This window comes from Homo sapiens, chromosome 20 (genome assembly GCF_000001405.40).
Source record: "Homo sapiens chromosome 20, GRCh38.p14 Primary Assembly".
NCBI classification, from domain to species: Eukaryota; Metazoa; Chordata; class Mammalia; order Primates; family Hominidae; genus Homo; species Homo sapiens.
In genome coordinates this window covers 29452179-29475268 of record NC_000020.11, presented here as the reverse complement: position 1 = coordinate 29475268, position 23090 = coordinate 29452179, and the positions used below count along the sequence as shown (strand labels likewise).

The 23090-nt window shown below is 39.4% G+C and overlaps 1 long non-coding RNA gene across 1 annotated transcript in view, besides 1 other annotated feature; it reads right to left on the bottom strand.

The window, feature by feature from the left end:
- Positions 1-23090: part of a centromere (Linear centromere model derived predominantly from reads generated in PMID: 17803354. This region does not represent an actual centromere sequence, as long-range ordering of repeats and unmapped WGS contigs is not provided by the model. For details of model production, see http://arxiv.org/abs/1307.0035.) that runs on past both edges of the window.
- The window catches only part of LOC105379477 (uncharacterized), a 9665-nt gene continuing 3662 nt past the window's right edge, over positions 17088-23090 (bottom strand). Inside the window, exons 2-3 of the long non-coding RNA NR_134504.1 lie at positions 20095-20255; positions 17088-18646 (exon numbers count right to left, since the gene is read on the bottom strand). This is a non-coding gene — a long non-coding RNA (uncharacterized LOC105379477). The remainder of the gene's footprint in view (positions 18647-20094; positions 20256-23090) is intronic.

Here is a 23090-nt window from a genome sequence, read left to right as displayed (position 1 = left end):
TAAATGACCATGAAAGTATGTTATAGCAGATGCCCACTCATCAACATGCCTTGAAATTAAAGGTTTATAAGGTGCACAAGGGCAAAGTTTTTGATGTTGCCATTACATTCACGAAAGTATCTCAGGCACGTACAGCATGAAGTTCACTAAGTGCTTGCAACATAACCAGCACTAAATTTTGTTGAATAAATAAATGAATACTTTTGTATAGCATCTGTTCAAAATCTCTGATGTAAAAATGAAAATAATCTGAAAATATGCAAAACCGACATTTCCCACATAGGTCTGCCAATTCGTACAAACAATAAGATGAATTTCAAAATGAGAACATGACAGTAAAATCAAGTTTCAAAATGACTGGTCTTTTTTAGCAAAACCTATGTTCAAAAAAAGGAATAAGACATCAAATGTTTTGAGAATCAAAATTTTACTGCTGCTTTTCTAACACCCTGTTGTTAACCTGAGCCTCCATCCTCTTACTGTCAATAATAGATTTTCATGATAAAATACAAGAAACAGGCCCGGTGCCTGTTAATAACAGATTTTCATCATCAAATACAAGAAACAGGCAGGGCACGGTGGCTCACACCTGTAATCCTAGCACTTTGGGAGGCTGAGGCGGGTGGATCACTTGAGGTCAGGAGTTTGAGACAAGCCTGGCCAACATGGTGAAGCCTCATCTCTACTAAAAATACAAAAATTAGCTGGGTGTGGTGGGAGGTGCCTGTAATCCCAGCTACTCAGGAGGCTGAGTCAGGAGAATCGCTTGAACCTGGGAGGTGGATGTCGCAGTGAACTGAGATTGAGCCACTGTACTCCAGCCTGGGTGACAGAGCAAGACTCTGCCTTAAAAAAAAATAAATAAAAATACAAGAAACATCTCATAAAAACTAAATAATCACTGTTCTAACAAACCACAATCCACGAACAAGAATGGAAGTTTCAAAAGTAAGTTTAAAAGAAAAAAAATTTCATTTTACAAACCACTCATTTTTAAGCTGATAAAACTCCATGGCTTCCTTAAGAAACAAGATCCTTTCAATGCTGAGCAGGTCAGTTTTGAAACTACCCCACCTCATTTTTCAGTACTTTTTCCAAAAGTACTTGAGTTGATCCTGAGGTTCTCTATTTCTCTCACATTTGATCCTTGCATGACTTACTGAAGTTGAAAAGTTATTTAAGAAAACACAGTGGTGTTCTTCACTCATGTAATTTGTTCATGTATCAAAGGATGGAGACAAAGCTGGATGAAATGCTACAAAATTAAACCTACTCTTCACTTCCACATGACAATATAAATTCGGGAGGATTAATTTTCCCATTTATTTAACAGAACATCCTTGCTCACACTCTAAAGTATAAATCTGTTCATGAAACCAATGAAAGCATGATATTTGAAAGAAATGGTATTACAAAGAAAGCAATGAATGAAGCAATCAAATTGCAGTGACAAAAATCGTATAAATAAAACCGTTATGGAGCATTTAAAAAAATCTACACTTAAGTTAAAAAAAGTATTAGACTTAATACAAAAAAATGAATTTTAGCTTCAGATGTTAGCAATTTTTAAAAATTATACATAATGACCACCCCCCAAAGGCAATGTAGGGTTCATTCAAAGAAGAACCCCTACTTTCAAAGAAGAACTTCTACTTCTCTGTGTTTGAATGTAAATTTAAAAGTACTTGTTTCATAATGTGCTGTTGAGACAATATGACATTGGGAAATTCCATTATAAATATACAGAAATCAACTCAAAATCAAGGAGAAGAAAGTGATGAAAGGAGAGGGAGAGGGGAAGTGGCTGAAAGACACACAGTGAGTAATCCCAAGACTATGTTCACAAAATCTTGTTTTCTCACTTTCACATCCTAAATGCCTCTCAGAGTATGAACATCTCACTGCTCTGAGTGTAATTATCATGCTTAAAATCTTATTTTTGAAGAACGTTAGATGATAAAATGCAAACTATTTGGTACTCAACTGTTCTTTTCTACTAGAGAAACCTGGATATTTGTCGTTATTGAGAGTCTCTAAAGTACTGCATAAATACTTTGGTCTACATTGTGATTTACAGGCAACTTAATGAATCTTTTGAAAGGGTAATTTAGAAATATGTGATTTTTGCTTCATGGCCAACTATAATTATTAGTCCTCAAGTAAGCATCAACACAAATATCCCTACTCAATAGCATTAAGTGGGAACAAAAAATATTTCCTGCTTTAAACAAAAAATTAAAGCTAGATTCAGAATTAAATAATGACTCTATAATATGTAACCAAAAAAGCAGTTATGATTTTTTTAAACGTGGTATGGAGTCTTACAAGGCTTAGATGAGTCTGCAAGGCTCTGTCATCTACATTGGTAAGAGTGAGGCAGAAAAAAGAGGAACAGCCAAGAGCTTTCCTTCAAACATGAGTAAACATAGTGTGTTGGTTAAAATTTTTAAATAAAATTTGGTACTATTCAAATGTCTCAAGAAAGCCACAGAGTCACACCAGGCCAACCCTGCGAACACAGTAGAAACCAACCAGCGTAAATCACAGAAAGAAAGTACACATTAAAAAAAAAATCAGTGAGCTGTAGAACAACTTTTAGTAGCATAACTTACATGTTATTGGAATACCCAAAGGAGAATAAACAAAGCAAAACAAAACAAAAGCTAAAAAACCCCAGAAAATTGAAGAAATAATAGTAGGAAAAAAATACAAAATTGATGAAAACAATAAACCCACAGTTTTAAGAATCTCAAATAACCTCAAGCACAAGAAATGTGAAGAAAACTATATGAATGCAGTTCACTTTCAAACCACTTATCACTAAAAAAACAAAGATAAGTAGAAAATCTTTTAAAAAAAACAGGATTTTTTTAAGGATGTCTTATGTGCTTAAAAAAAAAAATGAGAGAAAAATTTTCCATAGGAATGTCTTAATCTAGAAAACAGAAGTGTACTAAAAAATCTAGAAAACAGAAGACTAGGTGGAGCCAAGATGGCCAAATAGGAACAGCTCCAGTCTACAGCTCCCAGCGTGAGTGACACAGAAGACAGATGATTTCTGCATTTCCAACTGAGGTACCAGGCTCATCTCACTGGGGAGTGCTGGACAGTGGGTGCAGGACAGTGGGTGCAGTGCATGGTGCATGAGCCGGGCGAGGCATCATCTCACCCGGGAAGTGCAAGGGGTCAGGGAATTCCCTTTCCTAGTCAAAGAAAGGCGTAACAGAAGGCACCTGGAAAATCGGGTCACTCCCACCCTAATACTGCACTTTTCCAATGGGCTTCACAAACGACACACCAGGAGATTACATCCCGCACCTGGCCCAGAGGGTCCTACGCCCACGGAGCCTCGCTCATTGCTAGCACATCAGTCTGAGATCAAACTGCAAGGTGACAGTGAGGCTGGGGGAGGGGCGCCCTCCATTGTTCAGGCTTGAGTAGGTAAACAAAGTGGGAAGCTCGAACTGGGAGGAGCCCACCACAGCTCAAGGAGGCCGGCCTGACTCTGTAGGCTCCACCTATGGGGGCAGGGCACAGACAAGCAAAAGACAGCTATAACCTCTGCAGACTTAAATGTCCCTGTCCCACAGATATGAAGAGAGTAGTGGTTCTCCCAGCATGCAGCTTGATGTCTGAGAATGGGCAGACTGCCTCCTTAAGTGGGTCCCTGACTCCTGAATAGCCAAACTGGGAGGCACCCCCCAGTAGGGGCGGACTGACACCTCACACGGCTGGGTACTCCTCTGAGACAAACTTCCGCAGGAATGATCAGGCAGCAGCATTTGCAGTACACCAATATCCGCTGTTCTGCAGCCTCCACTGCTGATACCCAGGCAAACAGGGTCTGAAGTGGACCTCCAGCAAACTCGAACAGACCTGCAGCTGAGGGTCCTGATGTTTAGAAGGAAAACTAACAAACAGAAAGGACATCCACACCAAAACCCCATCTGTACGTCACCATCATCAAAGACCAAAAGTAGATAAAACCACAAAGATGGGGAAAAAACAGAGCAGAAAAACTGGAAACTCTAAAAAGCAGAGCACCACTCCTACTCCAAAGGAATGCAGTTCCTCACCAGCAATGGAACAAAGCTGGACACAGAATGACTTTGATGAGTCGAGAGAAGAAGGCTTCAGAAGATCAAACTACTCTGAGCTACAGGAGGAAATTCAAACCGAAGGCAAAAAAGTTAAAAACTTTGAAAAACATTTAGACGAATGTGTAACTAGAATAACCAATACAGAGACGTGCTTAAAGGAGTTGATGGAGCTGAAAGCCAAGACACGAGAACTATGTGAAGAATGCAGGACTCAGGAGCTGATGTGATCAACTGGAAGAAAGGGTATCAGTGATGGAAGATGAAATGAATGAAATGAAGTGAGAAGGGAAGTTTAGAGAAAAAAGAAGAAAAAGAAACGAAAAAAGCCTACAAGAAATATGGAACTATGTGAAAAGAACAAATCTACGTCTGATTGGTGTACCTGACAGTGACGAGGAGAATGGAACCAAGTTGGAAAACACTCTGCAGGATATTATCCAGGAGAACTTCCCCAATCTAGCAAGGCAGGCCAACATTCAGATTCAGGAAATACAGAGAATGCCACAAAGAACGCCACAAAGAATGCCTCGAGAAGAGTAACTCCAAGACACATAATTGTCAGAATCACCAAAGTTGAAATGCAGGAAAAAATGTTCAGGGCAGACAGAGAGAAATGTCGGGTTACCCTCAAAGGGAAGCCCATCAGACTAACAGCGGATCTCTCGGCAGAAACTCTACAAGCCAGAAAAGAGTGGGGGCCAATATTCAACGTTCTTAAAGAAAAGAATTTTCAACTCAGAATTTCATTTCCAGCCAAACTAAGCTTCATACGTGAAGGAGAAATAAAATACCTTACTGACAAGAAAATGCTGAGAGATTTTATCACCACCAGGCCTGCCCTAAAAGAGCTCCTGAAGGAAGCACTAAACATGGAAAGGAACAACCGGTACCAGCCGCTGCAAAATTATGCCAAAATGTAAAGACCGTCAAGGCTAGGAAGAAACTGAATCAACTAACGAGCAAATAATCAGCTAACATCATAATGACAGGACCAAATTCACACATAACTATATTAACTTTGAATATAAATAGACTAAATGCTCAAATTAAAAGACACAGAATGGCAAATTGGATAAAGAGTCAAGACCCATCAGTGTGCTATATTCAGGAAACCCATCTCAGGTGCAGAGACAGACATACGCTCAAAATAAAAGGATGAAGGAAGATCTACCAAGCAAATGGAAAACAAAAAAAGTCAGGGGTTGCAATCTTAGTCTCTGATAAAAAAGACTTTAAACCAAGAAAGATCAAAAGACACAAAGACGGCCGTTACATAATGTTAAAGGGATCAATTCAACAAGAAGAGCCAACTATCCTAAATATATATGGACCCAATAGAGGAGCACCCAGATTCATACGGCAAGTCCTGAGTGACCTACAAAGAGACTTAGATACCCACACAATAATAAGGGGAGAATTTAACACCGCACTGTCAACATTAGACAGATCAACAAGACTGAAAGTTAACAAGGATACCCAGGAATTGAACTCAGCTCTGCACCAAGCGGACCTAATAGACATCTACAGAACTCTCCACCCCAAATCAACAGAATATACATTTTTTTCAGCACCACACCACACCTATTCCAAAATTGACCACATATTTGGAAGTAAAGCTCTCCTCAGCAAATGTAAAAGAACAGAAATTATAACAAACTGTCTCTCAGACCACAGTGTAATCAAACTAGACCTCAGGATTAAGAAACTCACTCAAAACTGCTCAACTACATGGAAACTGAACAACGTGCTCCTGAATGACTACTGGGTATATAACAAAATGAAGGCAGAAATAAAGATGTTCTTTGAAACCAATGAGAACAAAGACACAACATACCAGAATCTCTAGGACACATTCAAAGCAGTGTGTAGAGGGAAATTTATAGCACTAAATGCCCACAAGAGAAAGCAGGAAAGATCCAAAATTGACACCTTAACATCACAATTAAAAGAATTAGAAAAGCAAGAGCAAACACATTCAAAAGCTAGCAGAAGGCAAGAAATAACTAAAATCAGAGCAGAACTGAAGGAAATAGAGACACAAAAAACCCTTCAAAAAATTAATGAATTCAGGAGCTGGTTTTTTGAAAGGATCAACAAAATGGATACACTGCTAGCAAGACTAATAAAGAAGAAAAGAGAGAAAAATCAAATAGATGCAATAAAAAATGATAAAGGGGATATCACCACCGATCCAATAGAAATACAAACTACCATCAGAGAATACTACACACACCTCTATGCAAATAAACTAGAAAATCTAGAAGAAATGGATACATTCCTCGACACATACACTCTCCCAAGACTAAACCAGGAAGAAGTTGAATCTCTGAATAGACCAATAACAGGCTCTGAAATTGTGGCAATAATCAATAGCTTACCAACCAAAAAGAGTCTAGGACCAGATGGATTCACAGCCGAATTCTACCAGAGTTACAAGGAGGAACTGGTACCATTCATTCTGAAACTATTCCAATCAATAGAAAAAGAGGGAATCCTCCCTAACTCATTTTATGAGGCCAGAATCATCTTGATACCAAAGCCTGGCAGAGACCCAACAAAAAAAAGACAATTTTAGACCAATATCCTTGATGAACATTGATGCAAAAATATTCAATAAAATACTGGCAAACTGAATCCAGCAGCACATCAAAAAGCTTATCCACCATGATCAAGTGGGATTCATCCCTGGGATGCAAGGCTGGTTCAATATACACAAATTAATATATGTGATCCAGCATATAAACAGAACCAAACACAAAAACCACATGATTATCTCAATAGATGCAGAAAAGGCCTTTGACAAAATTCAACAACCCTTCATGCTAAAAACTCTCAATAAATTAGGTATTGATGGGATGTATCTCAAAATAATAAGAGCTATCTATGACAAAACCACAGCCAATATCATACTGAATGGGCAAAAACTGGAAGCATTCCCTTTGAAAACTGGCACAAGACAGGGATGCCCTCTCTCACCACTCCTATTCAACATATTATTGGAAGTTCTGGCCAGGGCAATTAGGCAGGTGAAGGAAATAAAGTCTATTCAATTAGGAAAAGAGGAAGTCAAATTGTCCCTGTTTGCAGAAGACATGATTGTATATCTAGAAAACCCCATTGTCTCAGCCAAAATCTCCTTAAGCTGATAAGCAACTTCAGCAAAGTATCAGGATACAAAATCAATATGCAAAAATCACAAGCATTCTTATACACCAATAACAGACAAACAGAGAGCCAAATCATGAGTGAAATCCCATTCACAACTGCTTCAAAGAGAATAAAATAACTAGGAATCCAACTTAAAAGGGACGTGAAGGACCTCTTCAAGGAGAACTACAAACCACTGCTCAGTGAAACAAAAGAGGATACAAACAAATGGAGGAACATTCCATGCTCATGGGTAGGAAGAATCAATATCATGAAAATGCCCATACTGCCCAATTAATTTATTGATTCAATGCCATCCCCATCAAGCTACCAATGACTTTCCACACAGAATTGGAAAAACTACTTTAAAGTTCATATGGAACCAAAAAAGAGCCCGCATCACCAAATCAATCCTAAGCCAAAAGAACAAAGCTGGAGGCATCACGCTACCTGGCTTCAAACTATACTACAAGGCTACAGTAACAAAAACAGCATGATACTGGTACCAAAACAGAGATATAGACCAATGGAACAGAACAGAGCCCTCAGAAATAATGCCACGTATCTACAACTATCTGATCTTATAAAACCTGAGAAAAACAAGCAATGGGGAAAGATTCCCTATTTAATAAATGGTGCTGGGAAAACTGGCTAGCCATGTGTAGAAAGCTGAAACTGGATCCCTTCCTTACACCTTATACAAAAATTAATTCATGATGGATTAAAGACTTAAACGTTTCACCTAATACCATAAAAACCCTAGAAGAAAACCTAGGCATTACCATTCAGGACATAGGCATGGGCAAGGACTTCATGTCGAAAACACCAAAACCAATGGCAACAAAAGCCAAAATTGACAAATGGGATCTAATTAAACTAAAGAGCTTCTGCACAGCAAAAGTAACTACCATCAGAGTGAATAGGCAACCTACAAAATGGGAGGAAATTTTCTCAACCTACTCATCTGACAAAGGGCTAATATCCAGAATCTACAATGAACTCAAACAAATTTACAAGAAAAAAACAAACAACCCCATCAAAAAGTGGGCAAAGGATATGAACAGACACTTCTCAAAAGAAAACATTTATGCAGCCAAAAAACACATGAGAAAATGCTCATCATCACTGGCCATCAGAGAAATGCAAATCAAAACCACAATGAGATATCATCTCACATCAGTTAGAATGGTGATCATTAAAAAGTCAGGAAACAACAGGTGCTGGGGAAGATGTGGAGAAATAGGAAAACTTTTACACTGTTGGTGGGACTGTAAACTAGTTCAACCATTGTGGAAGTCTGTGTGGTGATTCTGGGATCTAGAACTAGAAATACCATTTGACCCAGCCATCCCATTACTGGGTATATACCCAAAGGATTATAAATCTTGCTGTGATAAAGACACAAGCACACGTATGTTTATTGCAGCACTATTTACAATAGCGAAGACTTGGAACCAACCCAAATATCCAACAATGATAGACTGGATTAAGAAAATGTGGCACATATACACCATGGAATACTATGCAGCCATAAAAAATGAAGAGTTCATATCCTTTGTAGGGACATGGGTGAAGCTGGAAACCATCATTCTCAGCAAACTATCACAAGGATAAAAAACCAAACACCGCATGTTCTCCCTTAGAGGTGGGAATTGAACAATGAGAACACTTGTACACAGGAAGGGGAACATTACACACTGGGGACTGTTGTCGGGTGGGGGGACGTGAGAGGGATAGCATTAGGAGATATACCTAATGCTAAATGACGAGTTAATGGGTGCAGCACACCAACATTGCACTTGTATACATATGTAACAAACCTGCACGTTGTGCACATGTACCCTAAAACTTAAAGTATAATAAAAAAAAAAGTCAAGAAACAACAGATGCTGGCAAAGCTGTGGAGAAATAAACACTTTTACACTGTTGGCAGGAATGTGAATTAGTTCCATCATTGTGGAAGACAGTTTGGCGATTCTGCAAGGATCTAGAACCAGAACGACCATATGACCCAGAAATCCCATTACTGAGTATATATCCAAAGGACTGTAAATCATTCTATTATAAAGATATATGCATGCGTATGTTTATAGCAGCACTATTCATAATAGCAAAAACATGGACTCAATCCAAATGCCCGTCAGTGATACACTGGATAAAGAAAATGTGGTACATACACACCATGGAATACTATGCAGCAATAAAAAGGAATGAGATCATGTCTTTTGCAGGGATATGAATGAATCTGGAAGCCATCATCTTCAGCAAACTAATACAGGAACAGAAGACCAAACACCGCATATTCTCACTCATAAGTGGGAGCTGAATAATGAGAACACAGGGACACAGGGAGGGGAACAACACACACTGGGGCCTGTCGTTGGGGACAGGGAGGGAGAGCATCAGGATAAATAGCTAACGCATGTGGGGCTTAATACCTAGGCGGTGGGTTGATAAGTACAGCAAATCATCATAGTGCACGTTTACCCATGTAACAAACCTGCATGTCCTGCACATGTATCCTGGAACTTAAAATAAAATTTAAAAAAATAAAATAAAAAGAAAACAGAAGAGCACTGAAAATTGGCTCACACTTCCACAGCCTGTACAGCAAGCATGATGCTGACATCTGCTCAGCTTCTGGGGAGGCCTCAGGAAACTTAACAATCATGGTGGAAGGGAAAGCAAGATCAGGAGGAAGAGAGAGAGGGGGAAGGTCCTACACACTTTAGCAACAAGATCTCATGAGAACTCTATCACAAGAACAGCGCTAGGGGGATGATGCTTAACCATTAGAAACTGCTCCCATGGACCAGCCACCTCCCAGCAGGCCCCATCTCCTACAGTGGGAACCACTGGAAGCTGCTCCCATGGACCAGCCACCTCCCAGCAGGCCCCATTTCCAACACTGGGGATTACATTTCTATATAAGTTTCCAATAATTTTGGAATACATACTAATAACATATTTATAAAAATACGGTCCAAAGTAGACCAAACACCATTCACTCTTCTATTTGAAAGTTTTCCTTCTATTCTAATGTCACAATCTCCAGCGTTATTAAGCAGAATCCTGCATTTAAGGTCATCTGTTAGATTTTATAGCTGATTATAAAACCATTATTTAAAGAGGACCAAAATGAGACAACAACTGTCTGTGGATGACAAAAACATTAAAGACAGCCATAGTTGAAGACACGAACAACAGCCTTTAAAATAGAATTTGCTGTAGAGCCTATTATGAGGGAGACATTTCTAGTTATTACCTCTTTTATTCTAAACCATGGAAAAAGGACCTATCAAATAAAGTCCTTCTAGAAGAGTGAAGGGCTCCTGGCAATGTTCTCTTTAATCCATGACGTGGGATAAGTGGAGTTTTGACTGATTATGAGGCAATGTATATGCCACTAAAGTTTCAACACCCTAAAAGCAATAAAAAAGATGGAGGGAAGTCCTAGAAGAACCAGATGGAGCCGTAGCAGAAGATGATTTCAATCCACTGACCCCTGAATTGTGGGCTGGTTGTGCTGCATCGCACTGATGGTTCTGCCGCAACAAAGATCTAATTCCCAGGGTTATAGGAAAAGACACCTGCGGTACCCCTGAGGCAGAGAAGGGAGAAATCCAAACCTAAGTCTAGGGTTCTTAAACCACACAATCTGCTCACAAGCAGGACCTTAACTCTGAAGATACTGATTTGGGGCTGTTTCAAATAAAAAAATTATAAATATGAGTGGGAAAGAGAACAACCTTCCCCATATCCAGTGACAAAAAAATGAGGGAGAGGGAAGGAAGGAAGGAAGGAGGGAAGGAAGGAGAGAGGGAAGGAAGGAAGGAAGTAGGGAGGGAGGTAGGGATGGAAGGAAGGAAGGAGAGAAGGAAGGGAGGAATGAAGGAAGGAGAGAGGGAAGGAGGGCAGGAAGGAATGAAGGAAAGGAGGAAGTAAGGAGAGAGGGAAGGAGGGAGGGAGGGAAGGAAGGAAGGAGAGAGGGAAGGAAGGAGAGAGGGAAGGAAGGAAAGAAGGAAGGAAGGAAGGAAAGAGGAGGGAAGGAAGGAGGGAAGGAAAGAAGGAAGGAAGAAAGGAAGGGAAGGAACTTGGATATGCACAAAAACAAAATTTAAATTAAAACGGAAGTCTATCATCTGACCTAACTGGAAATGTACTATCTTCTAAAACAATTTATATAGTCCAAAGATAAAAGGGTGCTGACTGGTATTTGTAACTCTCCAGCATATATTCTGAATCAATTTAACATCTGCTGAAATCTACCAATTGGTATACCTTCACAAACGTAATCAATACTGGAGCTCAAACTTTGTTATACCTGAGATTTCACTAAATTTAAACTTTGCACCCCCTAATCCTAGCAGAGTAACTGCATATAGAATAGAGGACACATAGTTATGCCTCATATTTTTTACCTTGACTAAATTTCCTGTAGTCATAGAAGACTTTGTCCATAGGGGACATGGATGCTCTGACCTAATGAGTAACAAATTGAAATTAAACCATTTGCACTTACACATTGACTTCACAAATGTAACCTTACAGAACTCCCTCTCCTGTTTTTTTTTAAATTTGATTTATTTTTAATTTTTCATTTTTTTAGAGATGGGGTCTTGCTCCATTACCCAGGCTGAACGAAGTGTGGTGGCACAATCATAGCTCACTGCAGCCTCGAACTCCTGGACTTAAGCAATCCTCCCATTTTAGCCTTCCAAGTAGCTGGGATTACAGGCATGCACCAACACAGCCAATTAAAAAAAATTTATAGAAGTGCAGTCTTGCTACGTTGCCTAGGCTGGTCTCTAAATTCTGGCCTCAAGCAATCCTCCTGTCTTGGCCTCCCAAAGTGCTGGGATTACAGGTGTGAGCCATGGTGCCTAGCCTCCCCATCTTGATAAATTAGCAAATATGGTCCAATAGAAATTACAACATGACTTCAAATAAATAAAACTTATTATATAAGACCTAATTAATTAGTGAAGGGGTGATTATCCTCATTGCTTCAACATTTAGCAGTAGAATTTGGCCTGTTCTTAAACCTGCAAAGAATAAATGGTGTTTCACAGTGGATTGCTGTAATGTGACTGCAGCGTTCCCATCCATTAAGGCCCTCGTACCCAATGCTAAATATTATTGTGGTTAATTTTTTTTTTATTTCAATAGGTTTTTGGGGAATATGATGGGTTTTTTTTATTTCAATAGGTTTTTGGGGAACAGGTGGTGTTTGGTTACATGAATAAGTTCTTTAGTGGCGATTTCTGAGATTTGTGGTGCACCCATCTCCCAAGCAGAGTACACTATACACAATGTGTAGTGTTTTATCCCTCACCGCACCCACCTCACCACTGCCAGCCTTTCCCTGAGTCCCCGAAGACCATTGTATCATTCTTATGCCTTTGCATCCTCATAGCTTAGCTCCCATGTCTGAATGAGAACATACAATGTTTGGTTTTCCATTCCAAAGTTACTTCACTTAGAATAATGGTGTCCAGTTTCATCCACGTTGCTGTGAATGCATTACTTCATTCCATCTTATGGCTGAGTAGTATTCCATGGTAAATATTTATATCACATTTTCTTTATCCACTTACTGATTGATGGGCATTTAGGCTGGTTTCAAATTCTTGCAATTGCATATTGTGCTGCTATAAACATGCGTGTGCAAGTATCTTTTTCATATAATGACTTATTTTCCTCTGAGTAGATACCCAGGAGTGGAATTACTGGATCAAATGATAGATCTGCTTTTAGTTCTTTGGAAATCTGCTCACTGTTTTCCATAGCTGTTGTACTAGCTGGCATTCCCTCCAAAAAGTGTAAAAGTGTTCCCTTTTTAACACATCCATGCCAACATCTATTAGTTTTTGATTTTTTGATTATGTCCATTCTTGCAGGAGTGAAGGGGTTATCATATTGTGCTGTGGTTTTGATTTGCATTTCCTTGATAATTAGTTATGTTGAGCATTTTTTTCATGTGTTTGTTGGCCAGTTGTGTATCTTCTTTTGAGAATTGTCTGTTCATGTCCTTAGCCCACTTTTTGATGGGATTTTTTTTTCTTGCTGGTTTGTTTGAGTTCCTTGCAGATTCTGGCCATTAGTCCTTTAATCAGAAGTACAGATTGCAAAGATTTTCTCCCACTCTTTAGGTTATCTGTTTACTCTGCTGATTATTTCTTTTGCTGTGCAGAAACCTTTTAGTTTAATTAAGTCTCATCTATTTATCTTTGTTTTAGTTGCATTTGCTTTTTGGGTTATTGGTCATGAAGTCTTTGCCTAAGCCAATGTCTAGAAGGGTTTTTCCAATGTCGTCTTCTAGAATTTTTATAGTTTTAGATATTAGATTTAAGTCCCTGATCCATCTTGAGTTGATTTTTGAAAAAGGTGAGAAATGAGCATCCACTTTCATTATTCTATGTGTGGCTTGCCATTTATCCCAGCACCATTTGTTGAATAGGGTATTCTTTCTCTGCTTTATGTTTTTGTTTGCTTTGTTGAAGATTAGATGACTGTAAGTATTTGGCTTTATTTCTGGGTTCTCTATTATGTTCCATTGATCTATATGTCTATTTTTATACCAGTACCATGCTGTTTTGGTGACTATGGCCTTCTAGTATAGTTTGAAGTCGGCTTCTAGATTTGTTCTTTTTGCTTAGTCTTGTTTTGGCTATACAGATTCTTTTTTGGTTCTAGGCTTTTATTACCTTAAGGTATGTTCCTTCTATGTCTTTTTTAGTTCCATGTGAATTTTTGTAGTTCTGTGAAGACTGATGTTGGTACTTTAATGGGGATTGCATTGAGTTTGTAGATAGCTTTTGGCAGTATGGTATTTTCACAATATTGATTTTACCCATCCGTGAGCATGAGATATGTTTCCATTTGTTTGTATCTATGATTTCTATCAGCAGTGTTTTGTAGTTTTCCTTGTAGAGGTCTTTGTCTCTTTGGTTAAGTATTCCGGATATTATTAAGATTTTGTATGCAAAGATTGCATGCAATTGACAACTATAGGAATATACTATTATAATTATATTATAATTATAATCATATATATATAATCATAATATTCCTCAGGTTTTTATTGCAGCTATTGTAAAAGGTGGTGAGTTTTTGATTTGATTCCCAGCTTGTTCACTGTTACAGTATAGCAGAGCCACTGACTTGGGTACATTAATTTTGTATCCTGAAACTTTGCTAAATTCATTTACCAGTTCTAGTAGCTTTTGGGATGAGTCTTTAGGGCTTTCTAGGTATACGATCATGTCATCAGCAAAGAGTGACAGTTCGGCTTCCTCTTTACTGATTTGGATGCCCTTTATTTCTCTTATCTGATTGCTCTGGCAAGGACTTCTAGTACTGTGTTGAATAGAAGTGGTGAAAGTGGGCATCATTGTCTTGTTCCAATTCTCAGGGGGAATGCTTTCAACTTTTCCCCATTCAGTGTAATGTTGGCTGTGTGTTTGTCATATATAGCTTTTATTACCTTAAGGTATGTCCCTTCTATGTTGATTTTGCTGAGGGTTTTAATCATAAAGGGATTCTGGATTTTGTCAAATGCTTTTTCTATGTCGATTTTGCTGAGGGTTTTAGGCATAAAGGGATGCTGGATTTTGTCAAATCCTTTTTCTGCATGTATTGAGATGATCTTGTTATTTTTGTTTTTAATTCTGTTTATATGGCACATCACATTTATTGACTTGCAGATGTTTAACCGTCCTGCATCCCTCGTTTCTCTTCAGATCGTATACATCTTTCACCTTATGATGGTTAATTTTATTTGCCAAGTTGGGTTGCCTAGATATTTGGTTAAACACCCTGGATGTGTCTGTGAGGGTGTTCCTTGATGAGATGAACATTTGAATATGTAGACTTAGTAAAGTAGTTGCCGTCCCCAGTGTGAGTGGGCCTCATCCAATCCATTAAAGCCCAAATAAAACACAAGGGTAGAGGAAGAGATAATTCACTCTCTTTGATGCTTTCAGAGCTGAGACGTAGATCTTCTCTTGCCTTTGAAGTCAGACGTGGACTGTAACTTATGCCATCAGCTTTCCTGGTTCTCAGGAATTTAGGCTTGGACTGGAACTCCACCATTGGCAGTCCTGGGTCTCCAGCTTGCTGACTGCAGTCCCTGGGACTTGTTAGCTTCCATAACCACATGAGCCAATTCCTTATAATAAACCTATATATATTCATGCAACTGGTAAATATTTTGTTGTTATAGATTTGGCTAACATGTTCTTTTTGTGCCTATTTTAACAGAGTCTCAATCATAGCATTCCTTCCTCTCTGAAGGGACCAGGTAACACACGGAGTGCCTTGGCAGCCTCATCATTGCATGCAATCTTCACAGACAATATCTCACTGCAGCCACCTTTCTACAGGAGTACAGGTGTGACATTATACTGATGACATCATTCTCAGAGAAAATTCATTTTATACACTAAGGACACACAGACACAAAGAGCCTTATACAAAGGGAATGGACCTTTCCCCAACACAGCAGTGCAAGGCCCTGCCACTTTGCTTCAATTCCTGAAAATTCCTTGGTAAACTTGGGGCTGCTCTATTCCTGACACTTTCAAGAAATAGTTATTCATCCTCTCAGCATCCACAATGTTAATACAAGCCCAACATTCTTTAATTTGTGTTTTGTTTTTTGGAGACACAGTCTTGCTCTGTCACCCAGGCTGGTATGAAGTGGCATGATCTGAGCTCACTGCAGCCTCGACCTCCTGACCTCAAGCAATTCTCCCATTTCAGCTTTCCAAGTAGCTAGGACTACAGGTGTGTGCCATGACACTCAGCTAATTTTGTTTATTTTTTTGTAGAGAAAAGCTCTCGCTATGTTACCCAGGCTGGTCTCGAACTCCTGGGCTCAAGCGATCCTCTGGCCTCGGCCTCCCAAAGTTCTGGGATTACAGGTGTGAGTCCCTGTGCCCAGCCCTTTAATTCTTTACTTGGGGTTCAGGTGACTACATATTTCTTAATTACAAATTTTACTTAATCTCGCTGATGCTGTCACTTGAAAGCTGACCCACCTTGAATGAAGCCTCCTCCAACAAGTCTGGAATCCATCCGAATTTAAATTAACAGGCGCTCCTATGAATTTCATCAGAGAACACACTGTAGATGCTTTAGCAGCCTCTTCCCATGCCTCCTGAAGTATCTGGTTTGCATGTGGTGGCCATAAGTAGTCCATGGGCTTCTGATGTAAAAAACAAACCTGCCTCTTTTGACCCTGTGCTGTACAGCATCAGGGCAGTGATTGCTGGCCACATACTGGACCCTTGAAAGAGAGGGCTCTGCATCCATGTCCATGAGCCTTCATGCCCATCTGGCCATCAGGCCTTGGGAAGCAGCACCCCACAGCTTTGGCACAGCTGCAGAGACCTCCTTGCCTCCGAATGGAGTCAAATCTGTACCCCCTGCAATTCTCATCTGCAGGAAGCACTGGCCTCCTTCATCCTTAGGCTATAATGCTGACACTGGCCTCCTTCATCCTCAGACTGTGGTGCTGGATGTCACCCCTCTGCGAGGCCCTTGGGATCGACTGAGAGACCAGCAGTGAAGTTCGTCCACCTTCTGAATGGATGCCATGATCGGACGTGATGGAGCTCAGTGGGATGCTGCTGCTTTCCCTCCCTTAGCTAGGATGTCCCTGATAAAGGATGACACCCAAGCCTCAGCACAACTGGCCAAACTTGAGGTGGTCATCATAGCACTGATGCTGGGCCAACAATTAGCCCCACTTGTACCTTTTTACAAACTTTTTGACAATTGCCAAGAATTGTCCACCTTCCCTCCCCATTGAATTAAATAAACTTCTTGTCTCATGGATACTCAGAATACCAAACAAGGTAACAGATGCCTTTATTTTAACTCAGGACACAGTACAGCTCTCACAGGGACACTCCTTATCCCTTGCAGAGTTCCAGACACTACTGATGATCACCAAAGCAACATTTCATCAGAAAACACAGTGCTGGGCTTGTGAAGAAGGTGTCCAGCAGAGCTTCCACTGCCCCTGTAGGATGCAGGCAGCTGCTTCAGTTGAGAGATACACTGAGCTCCTCAAAGAATTCCTATTTAAGGTACAAAGAATCGAGTGGATGCCCTGCTGGATACCACTGTTGCCACAGGATTTGATTACTCTAAGTTCATGCTCCTTAGGAAAGTGCACTTTTTACACCAATGCTAGACAGTCCCCTCAGTTGCCTTTACTGGACATCAAGGAGTTCACATTTTTGACAACCTTTCAGTCCTGAACTGTCCAAGGGGTGGAGGTAGCTCCATACAGGAAGCTGCCTGCTGCGTGTGGATCAGTAATATCAGACTTGCCCAACAACTCACTGGAGACATGAAAACCAATGCATGGGGGATGCATGACATCACCCAAATATTTACCAACACGCTTGTGCTGCCAGAGATCCCAGATCACTTTTCCTGCTTCCTGCTAAGCAAATGGGAGCAGTAGCTTCTCATCAGCTTCCACATTTCATTACTCATAATTGTGGCCTTCCTAATGTCTCATGCCCCTAAGCACTTATTACAATGTCTCAACAGCCTTCTCTCAGCCTCTCAAAATATTAGTCATCATTAAAATAAATGTCTGATTTTAAAGCATCAGGGTCAATTTTACTGTGACACCTAAAATTTCATGCTGCATCCCACCAGGTCCTCAGCCTAATGGCTTTCATGCCCCCAACAGACTGCTAAACTCTTTGAATTAGTCAAGCACATCCCTCAAGGGACCAAGGGTTACCCCACCCTCTGATTTCTACCAAGCCTGCCTCCCGCACCCTGTGCTCCAGAGTGAACCCCCGGGTAGACCTGCATAGATGCAGTGTCATCCCCTGTTGGGCTGAGTATGCGCGATGAATAAATTACCGTGAATTTCATCTGCTCAGTGTTTGTTGTGTCTGCAGCCATCCCCAGAATTCTAGGGCAAGACTAATTTCTTCATCAATGGCGTGAACAGGAAGGAACCCAACTAGGAATTGCCTTTTTAAAAAAAATCCCTTCCCACCCTCTTAATTATGTAATGCATGCATTTTATAGCTTTTTTGCTCATTCCATTATCTGAGGTCAGGCACTCATATTTAACCCATCTTTAGCCTCGGAGGAGGGCAGAGGAACAGTGGTCATATTTATTTCCCTAGTGGCGAAGACATGGTTTCCTCCCGTGCTACTCAAATTCACTCCTTCTTTAACTTGATGCTCAGTAGGTTGTGTTTCACTTGTCTTTGCAGATTGTTAGGAAGATGAGAATCAGCTTTCATTTTTGATGTTGCCATAGAGAAGGCTCTATGGTAATGCTTATTTTCACAGTCAACTTTCTCTTCTTTTCCCCCAGACAGAAATTGCAAACTCTTAGGTGAGTCACAGCTTTCTGGAGTCTGAAAACATAGATTATTTTCCCTCTTTTGATGGCAAATTTCTTATATCCCCACCAAAAATAAACTACTTACATATAATTTTGGCGTGTCATATTGATTACCAACTACACATAAAAACATTCCTTGATTTTAAATCTACATTAATTATAAAAATTTGGGTAGTCACAAAAAATTATAGTGTACAAATTTATAGACCTTAGGACTAAATGAGTTACTATTAACTAATATTTATTGTGCAGTTAGTGCATGGCAGAAGCTTCCTATGTACTATTTCATTTTATATGTAAAACAATATTCCATGGAAAATGTTATAATCTCCCCGTGCCTCCAATTTGGATGTGATAAAATGGCATCGTAAAGTTTTCACCCCAGAGTTCTCTGCTTAGTAAAAAGTAGAAGGAAGTCTAAACCTAAGTCACCTGATTTCAGAGCCCATATAGTTAAATGCTCTAAATGCAGATTCCCAGGGTGGTGGTTTCTATGAGAGCCTGTCACATACGATGTAGGACAGTGCTTCCCTGTAACGTGTGCAAGATTCCCTTGATGATGGTGACTATGAGAGCCTGTCACATATGATGTAGGACAGCACTTCCCTGTAACATGGGCAAGATTCCCGTGATGATGGTGACTATGAGAGCCTGTCACATGGGATGTAGGACAGTGCTTCCTCTGTAACATGCACAAGATTCACCCGGGGATCTTATTAAAATGCAAACTCATAGACCACACTTTGACTAGCTAAGATAAGAGCATTTAAATGGATGCCCTGGTGACAGTGCTAAGATGCTACTGTTCATGTGGGCACTGGCTCACCATATTAACAAAACATAGGACTTCCAGTCCCTGCTGGAAAAGAAATACAGACACATAGGATGTGACTGTGCATATGGAATATCTGTTGTGTTCTGGACATTGTACTAGACACTAGAGATAAAAAGTCAAATATCCCTTGCCTCTATCTGAAAGGAGCTTCCTACTCAGTGGCTTCTGACTGCAGTGTATATTTTCTCTTCTGATCTGGGAGAGTGAGCTCTACCTCAATGTTGGTAACTGAACACTGCCCAGTGGATTTGACGGGGAGACCATAGGTAGCTGTGTTCCTACATAGCTATGATCATAGCATATCTCGTGATGCCATTTCCCCCTTGTCAAAAGGCTCCCTCCAGTATCATACATGCTCCCCATGATTATACATTCTTCCTCCTTGCACCAAATGTTCCTAAATCTTGTAAAGATAAAAACATAAACCACATTCTTGTCATATTAATTATATATTAATGATGAAAGTTCCTTACTTTTCATGTGTTTAATATTTTCTCCCAATTTATAGAATATATTGATTAATATAAGAATAAATTTTAGCCATGAATATCTATTACAAACTTCATTATATACTTTGCTATTTTTAAATTTCTTATGCTCTTATAAAATGTGTGTTCTGGACTCACGTTGGCTTCCATTTCTTCCCTCTGGCTTCTATTAGTTTAGGTTATGAGCAGAGATGGACGGGGTGGCTGCTGTATTGGATCAAGGATATGAGCAGAGATGGATGAGGCAGCGGCTGTAATGGATCAAGGCTATGAGCATCTTGTGAAGTAGGATGTTAAATCTGCAAATATCAGAGTGAATCCAAACTTATCAATTCAACACTGGATTGTAAAACAGTTCAAAAAAGACTAAAAACACAGCTCTACGCTTTAGGAGGTTGAGGCAAGCAGATTGCTCGAGCTCAGGAGTGGGAGACAAGTCTAGGAAACATGGAAAAACCCTGTCTCTACAAAAAAATTTTTTTTAATTAGCTGGGTATGGTGGTATAAGCCTGTGGTTCCAGCTTCTCAGGAGGCTGAGGTGAGAGGATTGCTTGAGCCCAGAAGGTAGAGGCTGCAATGAGCTCTGATCACACCACTGCATTCCAGCCTAGGTGACAGAGTGAGACCCTGTCTCAAAAACAAACAAACAAACAAAAACAAACAAAAACAGCTCTAAACAAATGTGGCTAGAAAATTAGCTCAAGTTGTTCCTGTCTGGTGAAATACAAACATAAATGAATTATTTATGTGCCCCAGTGGCTTCCTGATGTTGAGAGCAAAGCCAGTTGTTCTGGCAGGTTCTGGAAAAATTTATCACATCATGGGGTTCAATGCCAGTGTCAAATCATAAATATAATAATCAAATCTGAAAGTGAACCCAGTTTCAGAGACATCCAGAAGCCACTGTGTATGAAGCTCCTTTCAGATAGAGACAAGAGATTATTTGACTTCTTATCTCTGTTGTCTAGCACAATGTCCAGAACACAACAGATATTCCATATGCACAGTCACATCCTATGTATGTGTATTTCTTTTCCAGCAAGGACTAGAGGTCCTAAGCTTTGTTAATATGGTGAGCCAGTGCCCAAATGAGCAGTAGAATCTTAGCACAGTCACCTACACACTTATTTCGATGCTCTGATCCCTTATCTTAGCTAGTCAAAGCGTGGTCTATGAGTTTGCATTTTAATAAGATCCCCGGGTGAATTTTGTGCATGTCAAAGGAAGAGAAGCACTGCCCTCAAAATATAGAGCAGGTGAACTAAATTATTAATTTATAGAGGTAGGCTGGCTATTTATTTATGCATCTTGTTGATGGGAAGATTCAAATTGATATACACAATCACCCCCATAAGGATTTCAGGTAAAAAACAAACAAAGGTTTAGATATTAGATATATTTTACAATTACCACATCAGTCTTTTTACTACAGCATCTAGTAGCACATTTCCCATAGATTTAGATGGAAATTTTCATCCCATAAGCCTTCTGTTAGTATTTTTAAAATTGAATACTCAATAAATAGTGGCCAAGTTGAATCTCTTAGAGGAATCTCACTCAAACTACAGTTATATTTTCCAATAGACCCCACAAAAATCATTGCTCTAGAGTAATCTAATATATTTATCCACCTCTTTAGACACTTAGGTAAGTATAATAATACAAGTTTTGTGTGTGTGTATGTGTGTGTGCATGTGTGTGTATTGTGTACCTTGTGGCCTCTTGCCCAGTTTCTGCAACACCTGAAGCTGATGCATGTTTAATGTAAATAATGTCCAGCAATGTTACAAATGTTGACTTTTATGTGCCCATCAGGAAAAAAAAGATGAATATTATTGTAGAGGAAATTTTCATTCTGGAAAAATGCATACTATTTGAATATTATTTTCATGCTTTCCACAGATATTACACATAGATATTATACTCCAAGGATTATGTTTCAAAGTCATCAAAAATAGAAAATACATCTATATTTCTAACTGAAAAGAATAACAGTAAGTAGCCCACCTTTGGGGAAATGTGATAAAAATATTAATGACCATCACAACTCATTAAAAGCATAAATTGTGCAATGATTTAAACTACATGTTCTTCATATGAATCTGTGTAGAAATATAGACACATTGGATAAATGCTATTTCAAGTCTGAGTGCTTTGGTAAATGATTCAGTCATCTGTAGGTTGAAGTGATTACTTTTATCTGCCTTCATAGTGAGAATTAGATTTCTATTCTTTATAAAGCAGGGAATACAGATTGTGCATGGAGTAAAAGCATACAATCCTTATTAATAATGATGGCAGCTAAGCTGCAGAGGAGAAAGCCTGCCAGAGTAACGTATTCAGTTTTACATCATAATCAGAGGTGTGTCCATCTCTGTTGAAGGCAGAATTAAAAACCCCTTCAACATTTTTAAAATAATAGATGAAAAACATCTCAAAGTCTCCTTTAAAATTTGAATTGACGATTCCACATAAAAGGAAGGGACCAAGAATATCTTAAAGAAATACTTCACGATGGAAGTGATGTTTTAAGTGAAATTTCATCAAGGAGAAGTTTTTCCAAAAAGTCTTTTTACCTCAGGAAGAATCTCATTAGTTTATTCTGTAAATAGTTCCTAGTAAAATGATGAAGACTTGATTTTTCAATAACAATAAAAAACTTAGATGGTTTAATCTAATGTTGTGATTTCGAAAGTGCTTCTTGTGCAATTATAGTTAAGCATGTGTATTTATATGCATTTTCTTAGCTCATTCAAACGCCAATAAAATAGTTTATTATCCAGGCTCCTTAAAACCTGAATTAAGTTCTAAAAGTGAGTATTGTATGTACTCTGTGAGGTGTGCGAAGACGTATGTGTGTGATGTATATGTATGGTGTGTGTGTGTGGTCTGTGTGTGTAGTAAGTGCATGGGGTACGTATATGTGTGTGTGGTGTGTACTGTGGGTGTCGTGTGAATACTGTGGGTGGTGTATGGTGTGTGTATGTGTTGTGTTTGTGGTGTATGTGTGTGGCGTGTACGGGTACTATGTGTGGTATGGTGTGCTTGTGATATGTGTGTGTGCAGTGTGTGTGGTGTATGTGATGTGTGCGTTTTGTGTGTGTATGGTGCTGTGTGTGCAGTGTGTGTAGTGT